At 43.1% G+C, this 21843-nt stretch overlaps 1 non-coding gene across 1 annotated transcript; it reads right to left on the bottom strand.

The window, feature by feature from the left end:
• Positions 1-8035: 8035 nt before the first annotated feature.
• On the bottom strand, positions 8036-8115 carry MIR4682 (microRNA 4682). The gene has a single exon (NR_039830.1). It is a non-coding gene; the product is annotated as a microRNA 4682 (primary transcript).
• Between the last annotated feature and the right edge of the window lie 13728 nt (positions 8116-21843).

The raw sequence follows: 21843 nt of genomic DNA, 5'->3' as shown, positions 1-21843 counted from the left end.
ATTTAGGCTTCCCCTCCTATAACTTTCCTATTATTCATATAATTCCCCTTTTCCCTTTTTCTTTTGTTTAAATGTGTTTCCTGTTTATTCCAATGCTGACTTTTTGGTATTTTTCTCTACATTCTGGAAACTAATTTTTTCTCAGTCATAGATGTTGCAAATATATCTTACCAGCCATCACCTATTCATTTACTTTGGTACTGGTGCTCACCTTTCAACATCACCCCCCTCAAAAGTATTTTTTAATATATTCAAATCTATTTTTTCCTTTATTATATATACTTTGAGGATCCTGTTTAAAAAGATCTCCCCTGCCCAAGATCACAAAGAATAATCTACTCTTTTTTCTATTAACATTGCACTTTTATCTTTAAATTTAGGTTTTTGTTTTTTGTTTGTTTGTTTTTGAGGCAGGGTCTCACTCTGTCACCCAAGCTGGAGTTCAGTGGCACAATCTCGGCTCACTGAAACCTCCGGCTCCCATTTGGAAGCGATTCTCCCACCTCAGCCTCCCAAGTAGCTGGGACTACAGTTGCATGCCAATACGCTCGGCTAATTTTCGTATTTTTTGGTAGAGATGAGATTTCACCATGTTTCCCAGGCTGGTCTCAAACTCCTGACCTCAAGTGATCCACCTGCCTTGGCCTCCCAAAGTGCTGGGATTACAGGTGTGAGCCACCGCTGGGCCTAAATTTAGGTGTGTAATCCACCAGGAGTTTACTTCTGGGTATGGCATGAGATGAGGATCCAACTTTATTTTGCTCCAGATGATGGAGCCCATTTTCCCAAGATTATTTACCAAATATTCTCCCTTTCCCTATCTCTATAAAGTACCACATTCCCAAATATAGAAGGTCTATTTCTGGATGCTTTTCTGTTTCATTGGGCCTGTTTTTATAATATATGTCAGTTTCTGATAGTGTAAGTCTCATTTCTTTGGCCCCTTTTCCCAAAAATGTCTTAGTTATTCATGAAGTTTGATTCCTCCACTAATTTGCAAAATCCATTTATTAAGTCCTCTAAAACACTCAGACTTGTAATTGGAATTGCACTGAATTTATAGACTAATTATGTGAGAATCAACCAGTGTTATAATGTTGTCATCAATCCATAGCTCTTTGTTTACATTTTATTTTATATCCTTTAATAGAGTTTCTAATTTTTCTTTATAAAAGTCTTGAGACTTTTTTATTATGTTAATTCCTAGAAAATTTATAGGTCTATGGAGTCTCGAGTTTTTTCTATTTTAATTTGTACCTTTTCTTTATATTTTATGATGAGTTATTTCTAGAGTAGAAGGTACTATTATTAAAATTTATTTTGTACCTCCAAACCTGCTGAACTTTTAATTCTCTTTTTAGTTCTAATGGTTTAGTTTATCTCTTAGGTTTACTTTGAAAAGTCTTATTCTATCTAAAAATAATGACAATTTTGTCTCTTCAATTTTGTGTTAGTTGTGATTTAGGTTCAGCTATATATAACAGAGCCCCCAAATAACAGTAGCTTAAGAAGATAGAAATTCATTTCTCTCTCATGTAATAGTTAAGATGTAGGGAGTCTAGGCCTGGTATGAAAGTTCGACAGCAGCCTTGGGGTGCATCCTCATCCTCATGCTCCCACGTGCTCCTGGCATCACATCCATGCAGGACCCACAGATGAAACACCTCAGAAATTTCACACACAGCTCCTCCTTACAACTCACTAGCCAAAACCTAGCTTTAGATCTTGAAAAATCATCTATTCACTCTTTGCTTTACTTTACTATTTCATTGATTTCTGCTTTTACCATTACTTCTTTTCTTCTTTCAAATTTACTCTATCCTAGTTTCTTGAATTGAAAGCTGAGTTCATTTCTTTTCCACCTTTCCTGTTTCTAGTTTTATTCACCACCATAAATTCCCCTCTTGGTATAGTTTTAGTTGCATCACGCAAATATCACCATGTCCCACTTTGATTCTCATTCTAATCCCGAGAATTTTGTAATTTCTCCTTGTGGTAGGGCAGCTCCTGACTTGGCTCCAGTGATCCCTGCCTCCTGGTACTCCTGCCCTTGTGTAACGCCTCTCCTGGAGAGAGGGCTGGTCCTAGAGACTTGCTTCTAGAATATGACAAAGGTGATGAGATGTCAGTTCCCAGATTAGGTTATAAAAGACTATGACACTCCTCTTGCCAGCACACACTCTCTCTTAATCACTCTGATGGAGCAAGGGGCCATGCTGGGACATCCACAGAGCAAGGAACTGTGGGCAGCCTCTGGCCCACAGCCAGTAAGGAGCTGAGGCCCTCAGTCCAACAGGCGGCAAGTTTCTAAATCCTGCCAACAACCATGTGAGTGGGCTTGGAAAAAGGTCCTTCTCCAGTTAAGCCTTAAGATGACTGCAGGCTGGGTGCAGTGGCTCACACCTGTAATCCCAGCACTTTGGGAGGCTGAGGTGGGTGGATCACTTGGGCTCAGAAGTTCGAGACCAGCCTGGGCAACATGGCAAAACCTCGTCTCTACAAATAATACAAAAATTAGCTGGGTACGGTGGCATGCACCTATGGTCCCAGCTACTTGGGAACCTGAGGTAGGAGGATGGCTTGAGCCCAGGAGACAGAGGTTGCAACGAGCTGAGATCTCACCATGGCACTCCAGCCTGGGTGACAAAGCCAGACCCTGTTTCAAAGAAAAAAAAAAAATTACTGCAGCCTTAGCTGCCATCTTGACGCTGAGCCAGAGCACACGGCTAAACCACACCTGAATTCCTGATCCACTGAAGCTATGAGATAATGTTTTGTTTTATGCCACTAAGTCTTGGGATAATTTGTTACATAGCAATAGATGATTAATATACCCCTATATCTTCTTTAACCCAGGAATTAATTTTCAGTGATATATTTTTAAATTTTTAGTCATATAGGATTTGTCATTAGTCTTCTGTATTAGTTATCTCTTGCTGCTGGAACAAACAACCACAAGCTTAGTGGTAAATTTGAAACAACTCAAATTTATTATCTTACAGTTCTGGACACAGGTCTTACCAGGCTAAAGTCACGGTGTGGGCAGGGCTGTGTTCCTTTCTGGAGACTCTGAGGGAGAATTCGTTTCCTTGCTCATTCAGGCTGTTCCTTGCTGCACTTGGCCTGAGATCCCCATTTTCTTACTGACTGTTTTGTTACAGCCATTGACCACTCCCAGTTTTCAGTGGCCACCCACAGCCCTTGGCTCACAGCCCCCTCCCTCCGTCACCAAAGCCAGCAACAGCAGGTCAGGACTTTCTCACATTCCACCTCTCCGACCATTCTCCCATAACCGTGTCTCCTTCTGGCTGCAGCTGGGAATGGTTTTCCCCTTTTTAAGGACTGATGGGATTCAAGTGGGCCCACCTGGATAAACCAGGCTACTCTCACCATCTCAAGGCCCTTAACCTTAATCACATCTGCAAAATCACTTTTGCCATGTAAAGTAATATAGTCATGGGTTCTGGGGATTTAAGTGTGGACATCTTTGCAGGGCCATTATTCTTGCTACCACATCTTCTGATACTGATTTGTAATTTAATTCTATTTCCACCACAGGATATAGTTCACATGAAGTCATTTCTTTCTGATTCACTGAGAATTCCTTTGTGACACAGATATAGTACACATAGTTTTGTGCCTGTTCTGTGTTTGCTCAAACTAATATATTTTTTTCTGAAATGTAAAGTTAAACTTCTCTCTGCTAATTTGAGATAAGTGATCACATTGTTAAACTCTTCCATATCCCTGGTCATTTTTTTATCCTTAATTTATCAGCTTTTGAGTATGTGTCAAAATCTCCAACTATAATTTTTGATTTATCTATCATCTAATTCTTTCTGTTGTTGTTGTTTTATTTATTTATTTTTTAGCAGATATGGGGGTCTCGCTATGTTGCCCAGGCTGGTCTCAAACTCCTGGGCTCAGGTGATCCTCCTGCCTCAGCCTCCCAAAATGCTGAGATTATGGGTGTGAGCCATCATGCCCAGCCTCTCATCTTAATTCTACCATAAATTACTTGATATATTTCAGGGGTATGATATTAGAAGCAGGTGTCTGTAATTGTTGTATCTTCGTGGTCCATCATTCCTTTTATCAGCACGTAGCACCTTGTTCATCTTTGGTCGGGTTGTTTTGCTGCTGCTGTGTTTCGTTTGCTGTAAATTTGTTTTGTGTGATACTAAGATTACTCCCTGAGCTTTTTCTTGTTCACACCTGCCTGCTGCATCTCTTTTTGTTAACTTATTTTCCATTTACGTATATTCTTTTCTTGTAAGAGTGACTCGGTAGATCATATGTTGCTGGGTCCCAGGATCCCCTCATTTAGCCCATCGAGACTGTCTGAGTTTTGACAGTTACCTTTCTTTCACAGGGCTTCTGCTCCTCAGATGCCTTCTAATTGTTCCTCGGAGCTCTCCATTATTCCCTTAAGATTACCTATCCCTCGGGTACTGACGGCTCCTTGGTAGAGAGGAAAGAGCCTAGTGTTTATTCTTCTCCAGGTGAGCTGGGGGTGAGAAGGCAGAGAACCTCTACGAAGGCCTTCCAGGCTCAAGCAAATCTTGCCTGGGGACCCTGTGGAGTGAACAGTGGTAGAGGTTCTGGTCTAGTAGAAGTGGGTACTCGATCAATCAGTGTGTTCATTTGCCTGCTTACTTAAGAGTTACTGGAGATTGTAAGATTTTGAGCAAGCCAACTTCTGGGTCTAGCCATACAAGCCAAGGTTTGCAATTGCACTGGGGAGGGCCTCCCAGCTCCCACCTAGTTCACCCAGGGCAGTGTCAGAGACAGGCAAGAACCCGAGTAAAACCCAGTCCAGTCCATTCTGGCCTTGATTTCCTCCCCTGCCCAACTCCAGACCCCCTGCCCCGGACCAAACGTTCTCCTTTCTCCAAAGCACTTAGGATTGGCTGCCAAGTGAGGCTTTGAGTGCATCACCCTCCCTGTCGCTTCTTGAGAATCTACAGGATTGAGACGGGAAGAAGAAGTTGGCTTCCTTGACTAGAAAATAAATTCTGAATAGCCTGTAACAGAGATTTGTTTTTCTTGCAAGAACCTGTAAAATTATTCATTGCCTATACAAGCTAATTTCAATTTTGAGCCTCTCCTGTGGTCAGGCTGGTGGGAAAACCCAAGCTCTTTATTTCCCATAGTTAATATATTAACATGGCTCAGAAATAAAAAATAAACAAAAGTGATACTGTAAAAGTCTCCCTCCTACCTGCATATAAAACTGCTGATATTGGTTCTTATGCATCTTTCCAGAGTTTCACCAAATATACACAAGCAAGGATAAAAATGTATTCTATATGCATATACACACACATTCTTATTTGTTCCCTTTTCCACAAAGGACAGCACACTGTACAATCTATTCAGCATTTTGCCTTTATTTCACTTTAAATGTCTGGTAGACCTTTCTCAACAAATAGATTGAGCATTCTTCTTTACAGCTATACAGTATCCCCTGGTGTGGAGGACTATAATTTATCCAACCATCTCCCATTGATAGACATTGAGGTTATTTACAATCTTCTGCCATTACAAACAATGCTGCATTGAATAATATAGAGAGTTTAAACAACAGGGGGAAATGTAAAAGATAGCGCAGGCATTTCATTATGGGTTTCCCAGTAATTTTTTTTTCCCTGCTGCTGTTTCTTCCTGCTGCATTTTTATTTACCTGAAAGCCCACTGTTGATGCTTTATTGCATTTTGCACCTTGTTCAGGGTCATTTTAGCCATTGGAACTATACAATAAAATAGAAAAATGTACATTTGTGGAAGTCTTGAAAGTTAACAATAACAACTACAAATCTCACACTCATTCAGGGTCTTCTGCAGCCTTGAGCGCTCAGATAGCAGGCTGATGGGGACTGTGCAAGCTCAACACACAGTAACCATCAGATGCAGACACCTCCCTCCTGTCACGGTAGACTAAGAAGCACAGGGTGCACTGGTCAGGCCACTCTTTCCAGAGCTACTGACACCATGAAAGGTACACAGAGATTTTTTTTCACAGTGATCTATAACTCTCAAAAACCCACTGGTGTTTATACCCAAAAGAATTGAAAGCAGAGACTCCATGAGATATTTGTACAACCATTTCTCTTTCTTTCTCCCCTCCTCACCCCTCCCCTCCTTAATAGAGTAAAAACATAAACATTGGCAGCCCCTTGGTTGACATCAGTCTTTCTGTATAAGCAGCCATATGCAGAGCCTTCTCTGATTGAATCATTTTTCTCCATAATCCATTTCTCCACAATCAGAGAAGAGAGTTGTACAGAAAAGATCTCATCATGAGGATGATATTAGTGAAAGTACAAGTTCATCAGGCCCCTACTGAGCCAGGCACTAAGCTAAGCTCCTTACTTTTTCTCATCGAATCCTTATTAAAGCTCTGCAAGGTCAACATTATCTGCATTTTACAGATGAGAAAACTAATGCTCAACAACACCAAGAAAAACAGCTGAAAACTATTAGCACTAATGAGAGAAAGGAGTGGGGCAGATGGACACGCTACCAATGGGAAGTCACCAATACTTTCCTAGGTACGAACAATAACCAACTTGAAATTGTTTTTTAAAAGTCCCACTCAAACAACAACCAAAACCACAAAATATTGGGAAAAGGGCTACAAAAAATCTAGTAGAGAAATGTAAATAGGAGAGGGATTAGGACAAGAGAGAGAGAAGAAATTCACCTTTTACCTGGTGTATCTCTGCATAGTTTGAATTTTTACAATTATTTTTGTAAGAACAAAATCTTAATATAAATGTGAGGTTAAGAAAATTGTCCAGAGTCAATATCTGAAAGCGAATTGGTCTAAATTCAAAGGCTATTCCTGGCCGGGCGTGGTGGTTCACGCCTATAATCCCCGCACTTTGGGAGGTTGAGGCAGGCGGATCACTTGAGATCAGGAGTTTGAGACCAGCTTGGCCAATATGGCGAAACCCCATCTCTACTAAAAATACAAAAAATTAGCCGGGTGCGGCGGCGCACGGCTGTGGTCCCAGCTACCCTGGAGGCTGAGGCGTGAGAATCGCTTGAACCTAGGAGGCAGAGGTTGCAGTGAGCCGAGATCGCACCACCACACTCCAACCTGGGCAACAGAGCAAGACTCTGTCTCTAAATAAACAAACAAACAAAGGCCATTCCTTTATGTTCTGCCATCCTAGAATCCACCCAAGAAGACTGCTGGCTGGTGCCACGTGTCATCCTGAGAGGATGCACACGTTAGAAGGACATTTTTGGATTACAAAGCCAGAAGGAAAAGACTTGGTTGGATGTCTCCTTCCATAAAGAGACATTGTGGGCGTTTTCTGTTTGCTTTTGCATTTTGTTTTTGTTTCGCTTTGTTTGTTTGTTTTAGGACAGAGTCTCGCTCTGTTGTCCAGGCTGGAGTGCAGTGGCGCGATCTCGGCTCACTGCAAGCTCCGCCTCCCGGGTTCAAGCGATTATCCTGCCTCAGCCTCCCGAGTAGCTGGGACTACAGGCGCCGGCCACCATGCCCGGCTAATTTTTTGTATTTTTAGTAGAGACGGGGTTTCACCGTGTTAGCCAGGATGGTCTCATCTCCTGACCTCGTGATCCGCCCGCCTCGGCCAAAGTGCTGGGATTACAGGCGTGAGCCACCGCACCCGGCCGTGTGTGTGTTTGTTTTCTAAGGATCATCATCAAAATAAAAACACAAAATCCACATTCCCGTGGGGGCTTAGTGACCCACCCGCATGCAGCGTTCAGTCTCGTGTGAACAGAATCGCTATAGACGACTCCCTGATTTAGGAACTTTTCGAGCCAGGGTAACCGTGTGTACCTGGGGCAAGGGTGATGGGATTGTGCTTTAAGTGAATGGCGCCCCTTGGACCACAGCTCAATGCAGAGCTACTGCTCTGGGCTCAGTTTCCCGCCTGGTTTCCCCTGAGCCTTTTTCTGTGTCGAGCCCCCAAGTACTGGCCCTTTGACTTGGATTCAGTTTTCCCCCTGCCTAGGATCCTTCAGTGACACTGTCCACCTTCACCCTGCTCGTGACTTCTGCGTCCCCTGGGCACTGAGCCTTGGAGCTCTGGACTTCCCCAGTGACAGACCAGGCTCCAGGAACTCAGACCAGGGGCAGCACTTCAGGCCTCCACGTTCTTGAGGGCTCCAGGCAGTTTCCTGAGGGTGCTTCAGAAAAAAAAAAACCATCACTTGCCTCCAGAGGCTCACATTCCCTTGGGAGACTCCCTCTCACTTTAGCCCTAGTATCCTTCCAAATCCTGGGCACTTTACAAGGCCCCATGGCAATGCATGCGTGGCCCGGAACTCCCAGTCAATTGGCACTTGTGCTCTCTCTCTCACTCATTCTCTCCCTCCCTCCTTCCTTCATGCTATGCTGTTCCCCACACCAAGATTTCTAGCCCACTAGGCATGCACGTCTCTTGTATCAATTCATTTTCTTTTTTTTTTTTTTGAGACGGAGTCCTGCTCTGTCACCCAGGCTGGAGTGCAGTGGCGTGATCTCGGCTCACTGCAACCTCCGCCTCCTGGGTTCAAGAGATTCTCCTGCCTCAGTCTCCCAAGCAACTGGGACTACAGGCACGCGCCACCACATCTGGCTAATTTTTTTTTTTTTTTTTTTTTTTTTTTTGTATTTTTAGTATAGACAGTGTTTCACGATGTGGCCAGGCTGTTCTCAATCTCCTGATCTCAGGTGATCCGCCCGTCTCGGCCTCCCAAAGTGCTAGGATTATAGGCGTGAGCTATTGTGCCCAGCCCATTTTTCATATAGCAAATTCCTCCATGCAGTGGAGTTTCTCTAACAATATAATAACATGCATTTGTAAAGCACTCTTGCATACCTTCATTTGGCCCTTTCATGTGATCTGTCCAAATAAGCCATCTACACAATAACTTGGATAATAATACCTAGCATTCTTGAGCACTGACTGTGTTCCAGATAATGAGCTAATAAGCACCTTATTACCCTCAAACCGCCTTCGGAGGTTATTATTATCCACGTTTCATAAATGAGGACACATGCTCAAGGGCTGGTAAGTAACTCTTCCAACGTCACACAGCTAGTAGGTAATGCAGCCTGGATTCAAAGCCAGGTTTATAGACCTTGGAGTTCTTTCTGTTACACTGTAGCTCAGGTAAACATGTGACTATATTTACAAATGCCAATACATGGTGAAGGGGGAAACAGAAAAGCTATAAAAATCAATAGTGAATTCAGAAGCACATACATCTGGACAAATGATCTTCCCCTCCTCCCTGGAAATGAGGAAGTCCCTGTATTACAATGATCAATGCCATTTACTCAGCATCTCCTCGGTGCCAGTCCTAAGGGCTTCATGTGTAATTTTTCTTACTAGATGTGTGATGGTAATCAAGTCTCCTGACTTCCCTTACTCCCAATTTTGTCCTGTAGAATAAGATGACAATGTCTGCTCCTGTGGCTGTTATGAGAGGTGATGGAGATGAAGCATGAATAGCACTCGGGACTGGGAGGAGCAGCAATCATGACTGTCCTGAGGACTGTGATCAGGGTCAGAAAACATTCTATATGGACCTTCCTGGGAGGGAGGCAGCCTTCCCAGAAGCACCCCACCCCCACTAGCCAGCTGTCTCCCCAACAGCACCAGCCAGGACTGAGTATGTGGCCATCCCTGGGCCATCACTGGTAAAGGGACAAGTGCCATGCTTAGGCTAGTCACATGGGGTGGAAGAACACAGGCCAAACAGACAACAATCTTTTCAAAGAAATTCCTTTTATTAATTTAGAGACAGGGTCTCACTCTGTCACCTGCACTGGAGTGCAGTGGTGCCATCATGGCTCACTGCAGCTTGGACCTCCAGGGCTCAAGCCATCCCCACAACCTCAGCCTCCCAAGTAGCTGGGACTACAGGTGCGTGCCACCATGTTTGGCTAATTTTTTAAGTTTTTTTGTAGAGACAGGGTCTTGCCATGTTGCCCAGACTGGTCTTGAACTCCTGGGCTCAAGCAATCCTCCCTCCTTGGCCTCCCAAAGTGCTGTGATTACAAGTGTGGGCCACTGCACCTGTAATTTTTTTAATTTTTTAACTTAAGCCCCTCCAAAAATATTAAGAGGGATCTAATCCATAACCTCCAGCAATATTTCTCAAATCCCCATTTCACACCACCCCGATTTCTCCAAAGCTCCTCAGAAGACCCCTCCTCCTAAGGCTCTTCCTCTACCACCAGCCCTTAGAGGCCCTTCCCTCTATGATCTATATTGACTTGGCCTCTTCTAATGACAGCTTTCCTTCTTCCCTCTGTCTCCAGTCTGGTCTTTCTCTGCTCAACTAGGGGGTGGTCCTTGACTCCTCTCTCCCATCCCAAACCCAATTGATCAGAAAATCCTCCAGCCTCTACCTTCAAACTAGGTCCAGAATCCAGCCACGCTTCACCCCTTCCCTTCTACCATGGAGGTACAGCCCACATCATCTCTCACTTGGGCTCCTGTAAGAGCCTCCTCTGTGGCCTCATGGCTCCCACCCTTGCCCTGTAGTTGAGGCTGGGACGTACCACCCTGGTCAACTCTTCAAACAGAGGCATTCATTTCCCCAGCTTCCAGAAGTGTCACCTGCCAATGGCACTCAGTCAAGTCCCTTCAGGAACTTCCCTCTTAGGGAAGGGGCTGGGTTTAGGATAAGAGCTGCCTGGCTGAGCTCACACCCCCTTTCTGGGAGCAGCCCACATGCTATGACTGGTCGATGCAGGGGTATCAAGTCCAAGGCCCCTCGCCTCCATTCGAGACATCTCTGAAAGGCCATCCCACTGGGCCTCTGCTGCAACTGCCACACTTAGGCCTCTGCCCAATCCTGCCTCCCTCACTCCCCCACAGATGTTGATCCCAAGGGTGCACCCCAATAAACTTCCTGCATGTTTTCCTCTCTCTCAGAGTCTGTTTCTGGGGAAATCCAACCTGTGACACCCCTGCTGTCCTCTCTCCCCACACAGCCAGAAGGATGCTATTGAAATACAAGGCCCATCATGTCACACCTCTGCCCAGGTTCTCCAGGGGCTCCTCATTTCTCTAAGGGTAAAAGTCAAGGCCCTAATAATGGCTCCAAGAGCCTGACCAACCCACCCTGACTTCTCTCTCCTTGGCTTTTTTCCTACAGCCTCCCCGGCCTCCTTGCCTCGCTAGGTGTGTTCCCACCTTCGAGCCTGGGTTCCCACTTTGGATTCTCTCTGCCCACTGCACTCTGGCCTCAGCCCTCCACGTGGTCATGCCCTCACTTCCCTCTGGTCTCTGCTCAAATGTTACCTGTGCACGAAGTCAAGACCGATACCACTCCCAAATTACCTCCCTTGGCCCACTTTTTTTTTTTTTTTTTTTTTTTAAATAGGCTCTCACTCTGTCACCCAGGCTGGAGTTCAGTGGTGCAATCACAGCAGCCTTGAGCTCCTCGTCTCAGGCAATCCTCCCACCTCAGTCTCCCAAGTAGCTAGGACTACAGGCATGCACCACAACATCTGGCTAATTTTTGTATTTTTTGTAGAGATAGGGTCTCATTATGTTGCCCAGGCTGGTCTCAAATTACTGGGCTCAAGCGACCTGCCCAACTTGGCCTCCCAAAGTGCTGGGATTACAGGCACGAACCACAGCGCCCAGCCCCACTTTATTTTTTCCATAGCATCTGTCACATTCCAGCCTGCCATACATCTCCACATACCATTTATCCTGCACGTTGCTTATCTGCTGCCTCCCTTCCCACTGGAACTTAAGCTCATGACAGGGATCTCTGTTTTGTTCACTACCATAGCCCAAGTGCCAGGAACAGAGCCTGGCTCGTGGTAGGCTTAACCGCGAATCTTTAGAATGGATGAGTGAATCCAAACCTGCATCATAGAACCCTAGACGCTCCTCAAACAACAACAGCAGAGCTTTCCATGTCAGTGTGGGAAATAGGAGTGAGTCTATGAATTCTCTCTCAATCACTGTGTTCTGCGTCATCTACCTTGCAAGCAAAGATTGCCACCAATTTCAGTGTCCAAATTTACACTCACATTAAGATCATATTTTTGCCTAGTGAAAAAAAAGAGAATGATGCCCTTGGCCCAAAGTAAAGGCTTCTCCGGGTGGATGTGACAATTGGATGAGACCACGCATGGCGACAGCTTCATCTAGTGCCTGGCACACAGCACGTGCTTTATGAAAGGCAGATGCGGCTGCTTCTTTTATTTCCTTCTCAGTGCTCCTCAGTGCTGGCCCAAGGAGAGACAATACATCAGACAGGTTGATGTCAATGGTAGTTGAGTTTAGTCTTTGATATTAGGTGAAATTTATTTTCCAATTTTCTGTAATGTAGTTATAATTACAATTTAAATTGTATACATATGTATTTACTTAAGGAGAAGTCAAATATCTAGTGTGTAGATTAAGAAATTTATGTGAATATATGAAAAAAATGTATTAACCAAGAAGTAAAAGTAGTCAGGTTGATGTCCAGAGTTGAATCAGAAATAAAAGATACAATGGCCACTGTGGCTCACGCCTGTAATCCCAGCACTTTGAGAAGCTGAGGCAGGAGGATCACTTGAGCTCAGGAGTTCAAAGACCAACCTAGGCAACATAGCAAGACCCCATCTGTATAAAAAAAAATTTTAAAAATCAGCCAGGCATGGTGTCACGCTCCTGTTGTCCCAGCTACTCAGGTGACTGAGGTAGGAGATTGCTTGAGTGCAGGAGGTTGATGTTACTGTGAGTTATCACTGCACCACTGCACTTCAGCCTGGGCAACAGCGTGAGAAAGGAAAGAAAGAAAGAGAAAGAAGGAAGGAAGGAAAGGAAGGAGAGGAAGGAAGGAAAGGAAGAAAAGAGAAAAGAAAAGAAAGAAGAAAAGGAAAAAAGCAGGAAGAGAGGAAGGGAGGAAGGGAGGGAGGGAGGAGGGGGGGCAAGGAGGAAGAGGAAGGAAGAAAGAAAGGAAGGAGGGAAGGAAGGAAGGAGAAGGGGGGAGGGAGGAAGAGGAAGGAAGGAAAGAAGGAAGGAAGGAGGGAGGGAAGGAAGGAGAAGGGGGGAGGGAGGAAGAGGAAGGAAGGAAAGAAGGAAGGAAGGAGGGAGGGAAGGAAGGAGAAGGGGGGAGGGAGGAAGAGGAAGGAAGGAAAGAAGGAAGGAGGGAGGGAGGGAAAGAAGGAAGGAAGGAGGGAGGGAGGGAAAGAAGGAAGGAGGGAGGGAGGAAAGGAGGGAAGGAAGGGAGGAAGGGAGGGAGGGAGGAAGAAATGATTCCATTAATGGAAATTGTTATGAAAGAATTTTCTGATACAGAAGATGGTGCATTCTATGCATCAATTTTTTTTAAGGCAGAAACAGGAAATCAAATTTAAATTGGGTCAGAAAAGTTAACTTTTACTATAAGGAGAAAATCCTTTAACCTATCCAGGTGTTTTATCAGGGTCTGCCTTCTCTAACTCTGGAAACTTTTCAGACTTCATGTTCACTTCCTCCTTTAAAGAGTGAAGTCCACCAACTCTTGTACATACTTAAAGAGATTAATTTTTAAGCTCTCTGCTCTGATATAAAATGTACACCATCTCCTCTCCTTTCATGTTCAGTTCCCACTGGACCAAACCAGGCATAAAAAGTTTGAAGAAGCCTCAGCTATTATTAAGGGAGAAATATATGGTTCAAGAAATGGGTCAAGGAGATTTAAAAATAAGCCCATCTATTAATTGTTTTCTATATGTAAAACACATACACCCATGGGCTCATTTAAATCTCGTAATAGCCCTAAAAAGTAAGGAATGTTATAACCCTTCTTGTACACTTAGTACACTAAAGCTAGGACGAGGTAGCTAGTCCAAGATTATACAATGAGTAAGTGTTGGAACAAGAGCTTGATCAGACATAGGTAGTCTGTTTCCAGCCTGTGCTCTTAGCCACTGGCCTACACCCCATCCAACTCCTCAGTGATATGACACAGTGAAAGAACTGTTGGGGCAGATGAGGCAGTGGCACTGTTTCTCCCCTAGAATTACAGACAAAGGTGCACAGAGGACACTAGTTGTGCATGCACGGCAACCTTACTAAGGGCCAAGGCTGGTCCTTGGGAAGTGTTCCCCAAAAAAGAGATGTGACTGGGAAGAATTCTAAAGGCAAAGCTATAAAAGCCACTGTGGAAATTCACAGAAATGGTGTCTGCCCATTATGTGAAGGCCTGTTCAGTACAAGACATCTTTGTCAAGTAACGACTTAAGAAGTGATTTAAAGCCACCCAGCATTTTACCATGATGCGCCTCAGTGTTGGGTTTTCTTTGCATTTTTCTTGCCCGGCTTAGGGTAAACAGTACTTCCTGAAACCATGAGCCAGTTTTGGAAGATCCTTGTTAACGATCCCTTCAAATACTGCTCCTGCCCTAATCTCTGTCCTCCCTGCCTTCAAGGACTCCAGTTACACACGTGAAACTTTTCACCATATCCTGTGTGTCTCACATACTCTTTCCTGCGTTTTCAATCCTTTTCCTCTCTCTGCTCCAGTCCATTTCTTTTTGACTTACCTTCCAATTCACTATTTGTCTCTTCAACTGCCTTATCTGTTGTGAAGCCCACTATTGAACCCTCAAAATTCTGTTGTTCTATTTCTCAGTTCTAGAATTTCCATCCAGTTCTTTTTTATCTCCAGTTCTTTACTAGAAGTCACTAAACTGGATTTAATGTCTTGATATTAATCAGTTACCTTAATGTCTGTGTCTAATACCTCCAATGTCTGGATCTACTGTAGATCTGTTTTTACTGTGCTTTTTCCTTTTGGTTTTCAGTCGTGTAGATTAGACATTGTGTATGGCAAACTATAGAAGTAATTTGAAGCACTGGGTGATGTTATCTTCCTCCCAAAAGCAATCTGTTTTGCTTCTGGAAGTCAGTTCAAAGAGGCGTAGATCACCCTAATAATATCAATAATTAAGCTGATTTAACTGTGGGCTTGTCTTTGTGAGGGTTTCTCTACTTCTGGCTCATCCCCTTCTGAAGAAATAGACCCAAGGTACATACCAGAGCTCTGTCTGCTTGTTGTGCCCTAAATACAGCTTTTCTCTTCTCCATCCTATAAGTGCCAGAGGCTCTTCTCTCACCTTTTCAGCCTCTCATTTGCCACTTTCTGCTTTGGCAGTAACCTCGAAGGGAGAAGTGGCACCAAATGCCATACTTACTTTGCTGTGCTTCCTTTCTCTCTGAGATGGTGGCCCCTCATGTCCTCACTTCCTTGGGAGGCTCTGCTACCTTCAAACAGATTTTTTACATACATTATATTTTCTAGTTGTTTTCAGTGGGAGGGCTGGTATACAGTAAGTTAGTCCACCATTACTGAAAGTGCAAATCTCCCTCATGGCATTAGCCGTTGAAAATGTGGCAAGCTGGGTACTAAAAATTGGATGGGGAAAAAAAGGCAACAAGGAAACAGTTACAATCTGGAAGACAAGATTTCTTGGCAAGACGAAACAGGGGATGGACTACTCTGATCTCTCTCTTCTCCTCTCATATACATAATCTGGATTTAAGAGCTTTAGGAAGGTAAATTAGAGGAGCTAAACAGGTTTGTGGGAAAATAATACCTATAGCTAATAATTAGATTTTCTGAAAATAAAGGGACATCTTCAAAGGCAAATTTCATTTTACAATAAAAGTAAATTAATAAAATGCCACCGATACTGCAAAAATGATTTAAAATATTGCTAATACTAGCTATGTCGATCAAATCAAATACTAAAGTAAGACACAAGCATCTGAATGAAAACAAACAAATATAATACAAATCACATACATGGCATAAACTAGATAATTCAAAACTTTCTAAAATATTAGTCCTTTCCAGAAAAGTTACATATTCCATAACTATATGTGCAAGTCACATTTAAATAGCATCCACTGGTGAACCCAGGATTCAGACACAAACTACTGCCTTTTGGTAAACTCTCTCCTTCTAGTTGAATCAGACTTGAGAGCCCTGGGAAATGTATTAAATAGCCACTGTGTTCAATGGAATGCCTTCCAGAATTCACACTTTCCGTGACACACACACACACACTCTCTCTCTCTCTCTCATTGGGTTCTTTGGTAAAATTAATTTTTGGTTGAATAACAGAAAAGTCACTTTACTACCTAGCTAAGTAGCTGAGGTTTAACTCTAAATTTATCATAGAGTTTTGGTGGATGCCAACACTGCCATTCAGGGAACAAAATCTTGAGAATGATGAGCCTTCAAAGAGGGTGAATGAAGACTCAGGGTCAAGTGAAGGAAATCTCATTTCCTTAGCAACTTCCCATTTCACTTGATCTCAGAGGAATCTTACCTGTGCAGTGTAAACTGAATTTGAAACCTAAGTCAGATATTCACAAAGCTTTCTCTGAAAACAGGTTCATCAAAAGGTGGATCTATCTACATATCTATCTTTCTATCCATACACAGAGATACAGATAGACAGACACACACACACACATAATTAGAAAACTGGACTGTATTAGTCCATTCTCACACTGCTAATAATGACATACCCAGGACTGGGTAATTTATAAAGGAAAGAGGTTTAATTGACTCACAGTTCAGCATGGCTGGGGAGGCCTCAGGAAACTTACAATCATGGCAGAAGGGGAAGCAAACACATCCTTCTTCACATGGCAGCAGCAAGGAGAAGTGCTGAGCAAAAGGGGGAAAAGCCCTTTATAAAACCATCAGATCTTGTGGAGAACTCACTCTCATGAGAACAGCATGAGGGTAACCACCCCCATTATTAAATTATATCCCACCGGATCCCTCCCACAACACGTGGGGATTATGGGAACTACAATTCAAGATGAGACTTGGGTGGGAGACTTGAATTGGGAACTACAATTCAAGATGAGATGTGGGATTATGGAAACTACAATTCAAGATGAGACTCAGCCAAACCATACCATGGACACAATCCAAAGATCAAATAGGGGGTTGGTTAAGTAAAAATGGATTTTTACTTAACTAGTATCTTAATAGAAGATTTTTTTAATAACATGAAAACAATTCACATTCTAGTAAAGGAAAAAAGTTCCAAAGATTATAATGTGATCAAATTTTTATAAGGAAAAATGCAAAATGGCACGGGTAGAATATATGTGATTTTTATTTTTTCATTTATGCCTTTTTGCATTTTCCTAATTTTCTAATCCAACACAGTGCCAAGAGCTATTTCCTATTCACTCATTTTAGGGCCTATCAGTTACCAATAATCTATTTCCATAGAGAAGCAAAACAGTATCACAGAAAAGGCCTTGACCCAGAGTAGGAAGATATAAGACAAGTCCCAGCTTCACCGTTCACGCCTGAGTCACTCTGGACAAGTCGCGTCAGTTCGGGGACTCTTAGCTCTCCCTTCTACGAAGATGGAGGTCATCTAAGTACATGAGGTGATGCATATGTTAATTAGCTTGATTTGGCCATCCCACAATGTATACATATTTCAAACCATCATGTCATACAACATATATACAATTTTTATTTGTCAATTTAAAAAATGAAAATAAAATGATGGAGACCATCATCCCTGTCCTGCCTTCTTCCCTCAATAAGCACGAAGGTCAAATGAAGTAAAGTCCATGAAAGCCATCTGCAAAGTGGAAGCATGATCCAAGAAAAGAAATAATTAGTAACTATTAAAAGTGTTTCTTTTTTTTTTTTTTTCTGAGACAGGGTCTTGCCAGGCTGGAGTGCCATGTGATCACAGCTCACTGCAGCCCTGAACTCCCAGGCTCAAGCAATCCTCCCGCCTCAGCTCCCAAGTAGCTAGGACCCAGGCATGCACCACCATGCCCAGCTATTTTTTTGTTTTTCGGTAGAGACGGGGTCTCACTGTTGCCCAAGTTGGTCTCAAACTCCTGAACTCCAGCGATCCACCCACCTTAACCTCCTAAAGTGCCAGGCATTACAAGCATGAGCTGCAGCACCCAGCCTAAAAATGCTTTTAAAGTTCTTGTAGATCTACGACTCAAGCTTCTAAAGTTAAAGGCTCTGCATTTTACATCAGATAATATAGCCACCCTTACCATGTACCTGCTCCCTCAAATGTGAATGTGGGACCTGAACAGAACACCAAGTCGGGACTGCTGGACAGGTGGGGAGCACCAGCCAACAGAGAGAAAAAAACAAGATGTTTATAAAAACCACTGCAGTGCGGCCGGACATGGTGGCTCACGTCTGTAATCCCAGCACTATGGGAGGCTGAGGCGGGCAGATAACGAAGTCAGGAGATCGAGACCATCCTGGCTAACATGGTGAAACCCCGTCTCTACTAAAAATACAAAAAGTTAGCCAGGCGTGGTGGCAGGCGCCTGTAGTCCCAGCTACTCGAGAGGCTGAGGCAGAATGGCGTGAACCCGAGAGGCGGAGCTTGCAGTGAGCCAAGATCCCACCACTGCACTCCAGCCTGGGAGACAGGCGAGACTCCATCTAAAAAAAAAAAAAAAAAATGTAGAGATGAGGTCTCCCTATATTGCTAGTCTCTAACTTTTGGGCTCACACAATCCTCCCACCTCAGCCTCCTAAAGTGCTGGGATTACAAGCATGAGCCACTGTGCCCAGCTGAGATCATCTTTTTTTTAGATAATCACATATTCCTCTCCCTTCCAAATCCACTAGAAACAGAATCTTGATCAACACACTCAGAGATTTTTTCCAAACTTTGGGAGAACATTCATAAATAAAACAAAATAAATAATGGATTTTTTTGGATTTTCATCTAATTTTTAAATTTTTGCTTTCTCTACGCTGACCACAATCCTACCACTTAATCATTTTGTGATCTTGAGCAAGTCACTCAACTTTTAAAATCTGTTTCCTTACCTGTAAAATGTGCCTGTGCCATTCCTGTGCCACAAACGTCAATATGATGTATGAAGCTCTTAATCAGTTTTGGACTCGAGGTGGACATGAATGGATCTGGACACAGGAGACTGAGACCCTAGTTCTGGCTTTGTCATTATCTACAACCGTAATCACACCCCCTCCCTTCTCAGATTGGCTGGGACTGGTTGGCAGATTCCTGAGTCTGCACTCCAGCCACGGTTCAAACTATACACGTCTGCGCATCCACTGGTCTCCCAGAATGGACTGTTTACATACAAGTGACCACCCTGTTATTTCAGGCAGCATTCTGCCTCTGTCTGCTGTGCTGACTTTATACAGATGGTGCTGCAAAGCTGCCAATAACAGCGTTCATTTGAGTTGTTTTCATAGTTACAGAAATAAACAGATTTGCACTGATGTGTCCACGGGATTTTATTGTCTGATAAGACACCTGTGACCAAGACTAGAAATCTGTGACATTTCAAGGCATCCTCCCTTCTTTCCTCCAGTTTCTTACCAAATTGACCATCCTATTTAGCCACACTGAACATTTGTTTCCAGGTTTCCACTCTATAAACTTCCCATGATGAATAATCCAGCTTACATAAATTTTTGTCTTTTTTTTTTTTTCTTTTTTTTTTTTTGAGATGGAATCTTGCTCTGTCACCCAGGCTGGAGTGCAGTCACGCGATCTCGGCTCACTGCAACCTCCACCTTCCAGGTTCAAGCGATTCTCCTGCCTCAGCCTCCCGAGTACCTGGGATTACAGGCGCATGCCACCATGCCCGGCTAATTTTTGTATTTTTAGTAGAGACAGGGGTCTCACCATGTTGGCCAGGCTGGTCTCAAACTCCTGACCTCAAGTGATCTGCCCGCCTTGGCCTCACAAAGTGCTGGGATTACAGGTGTGAGCCACTGTGCCCAGCCCTGTCCATTTTTTTTTTAAAGACTCTATTTCTGAAGGTTCAATTATTGGATTAAAAGACACAGATCATTTTAAGGCTCTTGATACATATTACACCAAGTCATTTTCTAGAAAAGAAGCACCAATTGATATTCCCATGAGCAATATATGAGCTTGTGGGCCCATCTCTTTTTATTTGCCAATATGAGCAGTTAAAAAGAAGACATCTCTTTATAAATTTTAATTTTTATTTTTGAGATAAGTAATAAGGATGAACATCTTCTTCAACTGGGTTTTTTTTTTCCTACTGAATTGTCTGTTTATGTCCTTTTCACGTTTTTAAGTTGTTAAAAGTTCACCATAAGAAAATCTGTACAATTTCTTCCACAGCTAAAAATACGGGAGACTTAACTGTCAACATAAAAATAAAAAGTGACCACTTTCAAGCTGGTTGGGATTTATACTATGCAAATTTAAACATCTATAAAATAAAAACTTTTTAAATGTTCATTTCTTTTTGGATCTTAGCAAATGGGAATTTAGTTCCAGTTGACTCCCCATGATCCCTCCTGCAATTCAAGAATGCTTTCCAGAACTTTCAGATATGCCACGGAGTAGAATGTTGATGATGTTCTGTCAGCACCAAAGAAAGTGGTGACAGATATGGCTCTAAAACCCAGCCACCAGACTGAATTTAATTATTTACACATAAGCAGCACGTGTTCGACTACAGAGATGCCCAAGGATTCTGAAACCTTAATTTTAACATGTTTCTTCTGGAGAAGACTTAATTTTTTTATTGAGTCTCAAAATCAATTCAAAACTCATTATATTTGACAACAGTTGAGGTTAACAGACTATTATTGTCACTTAACAAAATTATCCTGATTATATAAAGGGTAGAACTCCTTAGGACCCCAGCAATAAAAAGTGATGGCCAAGGGAGATAGTCATACACAGTCATCCAAGGTCACAGTCATGCTAGATTCGGATGTTGACAAAACTGATTTGGAAAACAGGCAAAAATGTAGAAGTATTTGGCTGGATTCTAAAATGTGTTAGAAAATGAAAAGTGGTATCAGAAAATGAATTTTTACAAAAGTTAGATGAAAGGTATCTGCGTTAAATGAGACACAGCATCAAGAAAAAATCTCGGCCGGGCGCGGTGGCTCATGCCTGTAATCCCAGCACTTTGGGAGGCCAAGGCGGTTGGATCACCTGACATCAGGAGTTCAAGACCAGCCTGGCCAACATGGTGAAACCCCATCTCTACTAAAAATACAAAATACAGAATCTCACTCTGTCTCTCAGGCTGGAGAGCAGTGGCACGATCACAGCTCACTGCAGCCTCGACATCCTTAGCTAGGACTAAGGCATGTGCCATCACACCCAGCTATCTTTTTTTATTTTTTGTAGAGACAAGGTCTTGCTATGTTGCCCATGTTGGTCTCGGACTCCTGGTCTCAAGTGTTCCTCCCACCTCAGCCTCCCAAAGGGTTGGGATTACAGGCATAAGCCACCACGCCTGGCCTTTATACTGTTTAGAACAATTTGGGGATCTTCATTAACACAAGGTCTTTACTCCCACATTTAAAAAAAAATTAAAATGGGCTTTGACTGCCTAAATGTTTGCAAAAAGAGGCAGCAATTTGTAAGTATTTGAAAATACATCCTTCTATAGTAGAGGTTTCCCTTTATTTTTATGTTTGAGGCACAAGCACACTTTCTTTATGCTGCCCTGCCATTAACTGTGTAGGTTTGGGCAAGATGAGTAGCTTCTACGAGCCTTGCTTCTCTCCTCTGTAAAACAAGGATGACAACTCCCTCAATCGCCTCTGTAAAACAAGGATGACAACTCCCTCAATCGCCTCTGTAAAGATTACACACATGAGCTAGAGCTTGTGCAGTGCCTAAGACACAGTCAGCACCCAAAACGCATGAGTTCCCTCCCCAGCCTCTTCCAGGAGGTAACAGCCAGGGAACTACAACAGCCTCCTTCACTTGAAGTTGCTCTAGGGGTCAGAAGCGCTCTTCAAAATAGCTTTACAACTCCTGACTAGTAAATATACCCTGAAAAGAGGAGCAAATTGGCCTCAAAGAAACAGCTGGGCACAGGTGTT

The sequence above is a fragment of the Homo sapiens genome, chromosome 10 (assembly GCF_000001405.40).
Source record: "Homo sapiens chromosome 10, GRCh38.p14 Primary Assembly".
In the NCBI taxonomy this organism is placed as follows: domain Eukaryota; kingdom Metazoa; phylum Chordata; class Mammalia; order Primates; family Hominidae; genus Homo; species Homo sapiens.
This window is presented reverse-complemented; position numbering and strand designations above follow the sequence as displayed.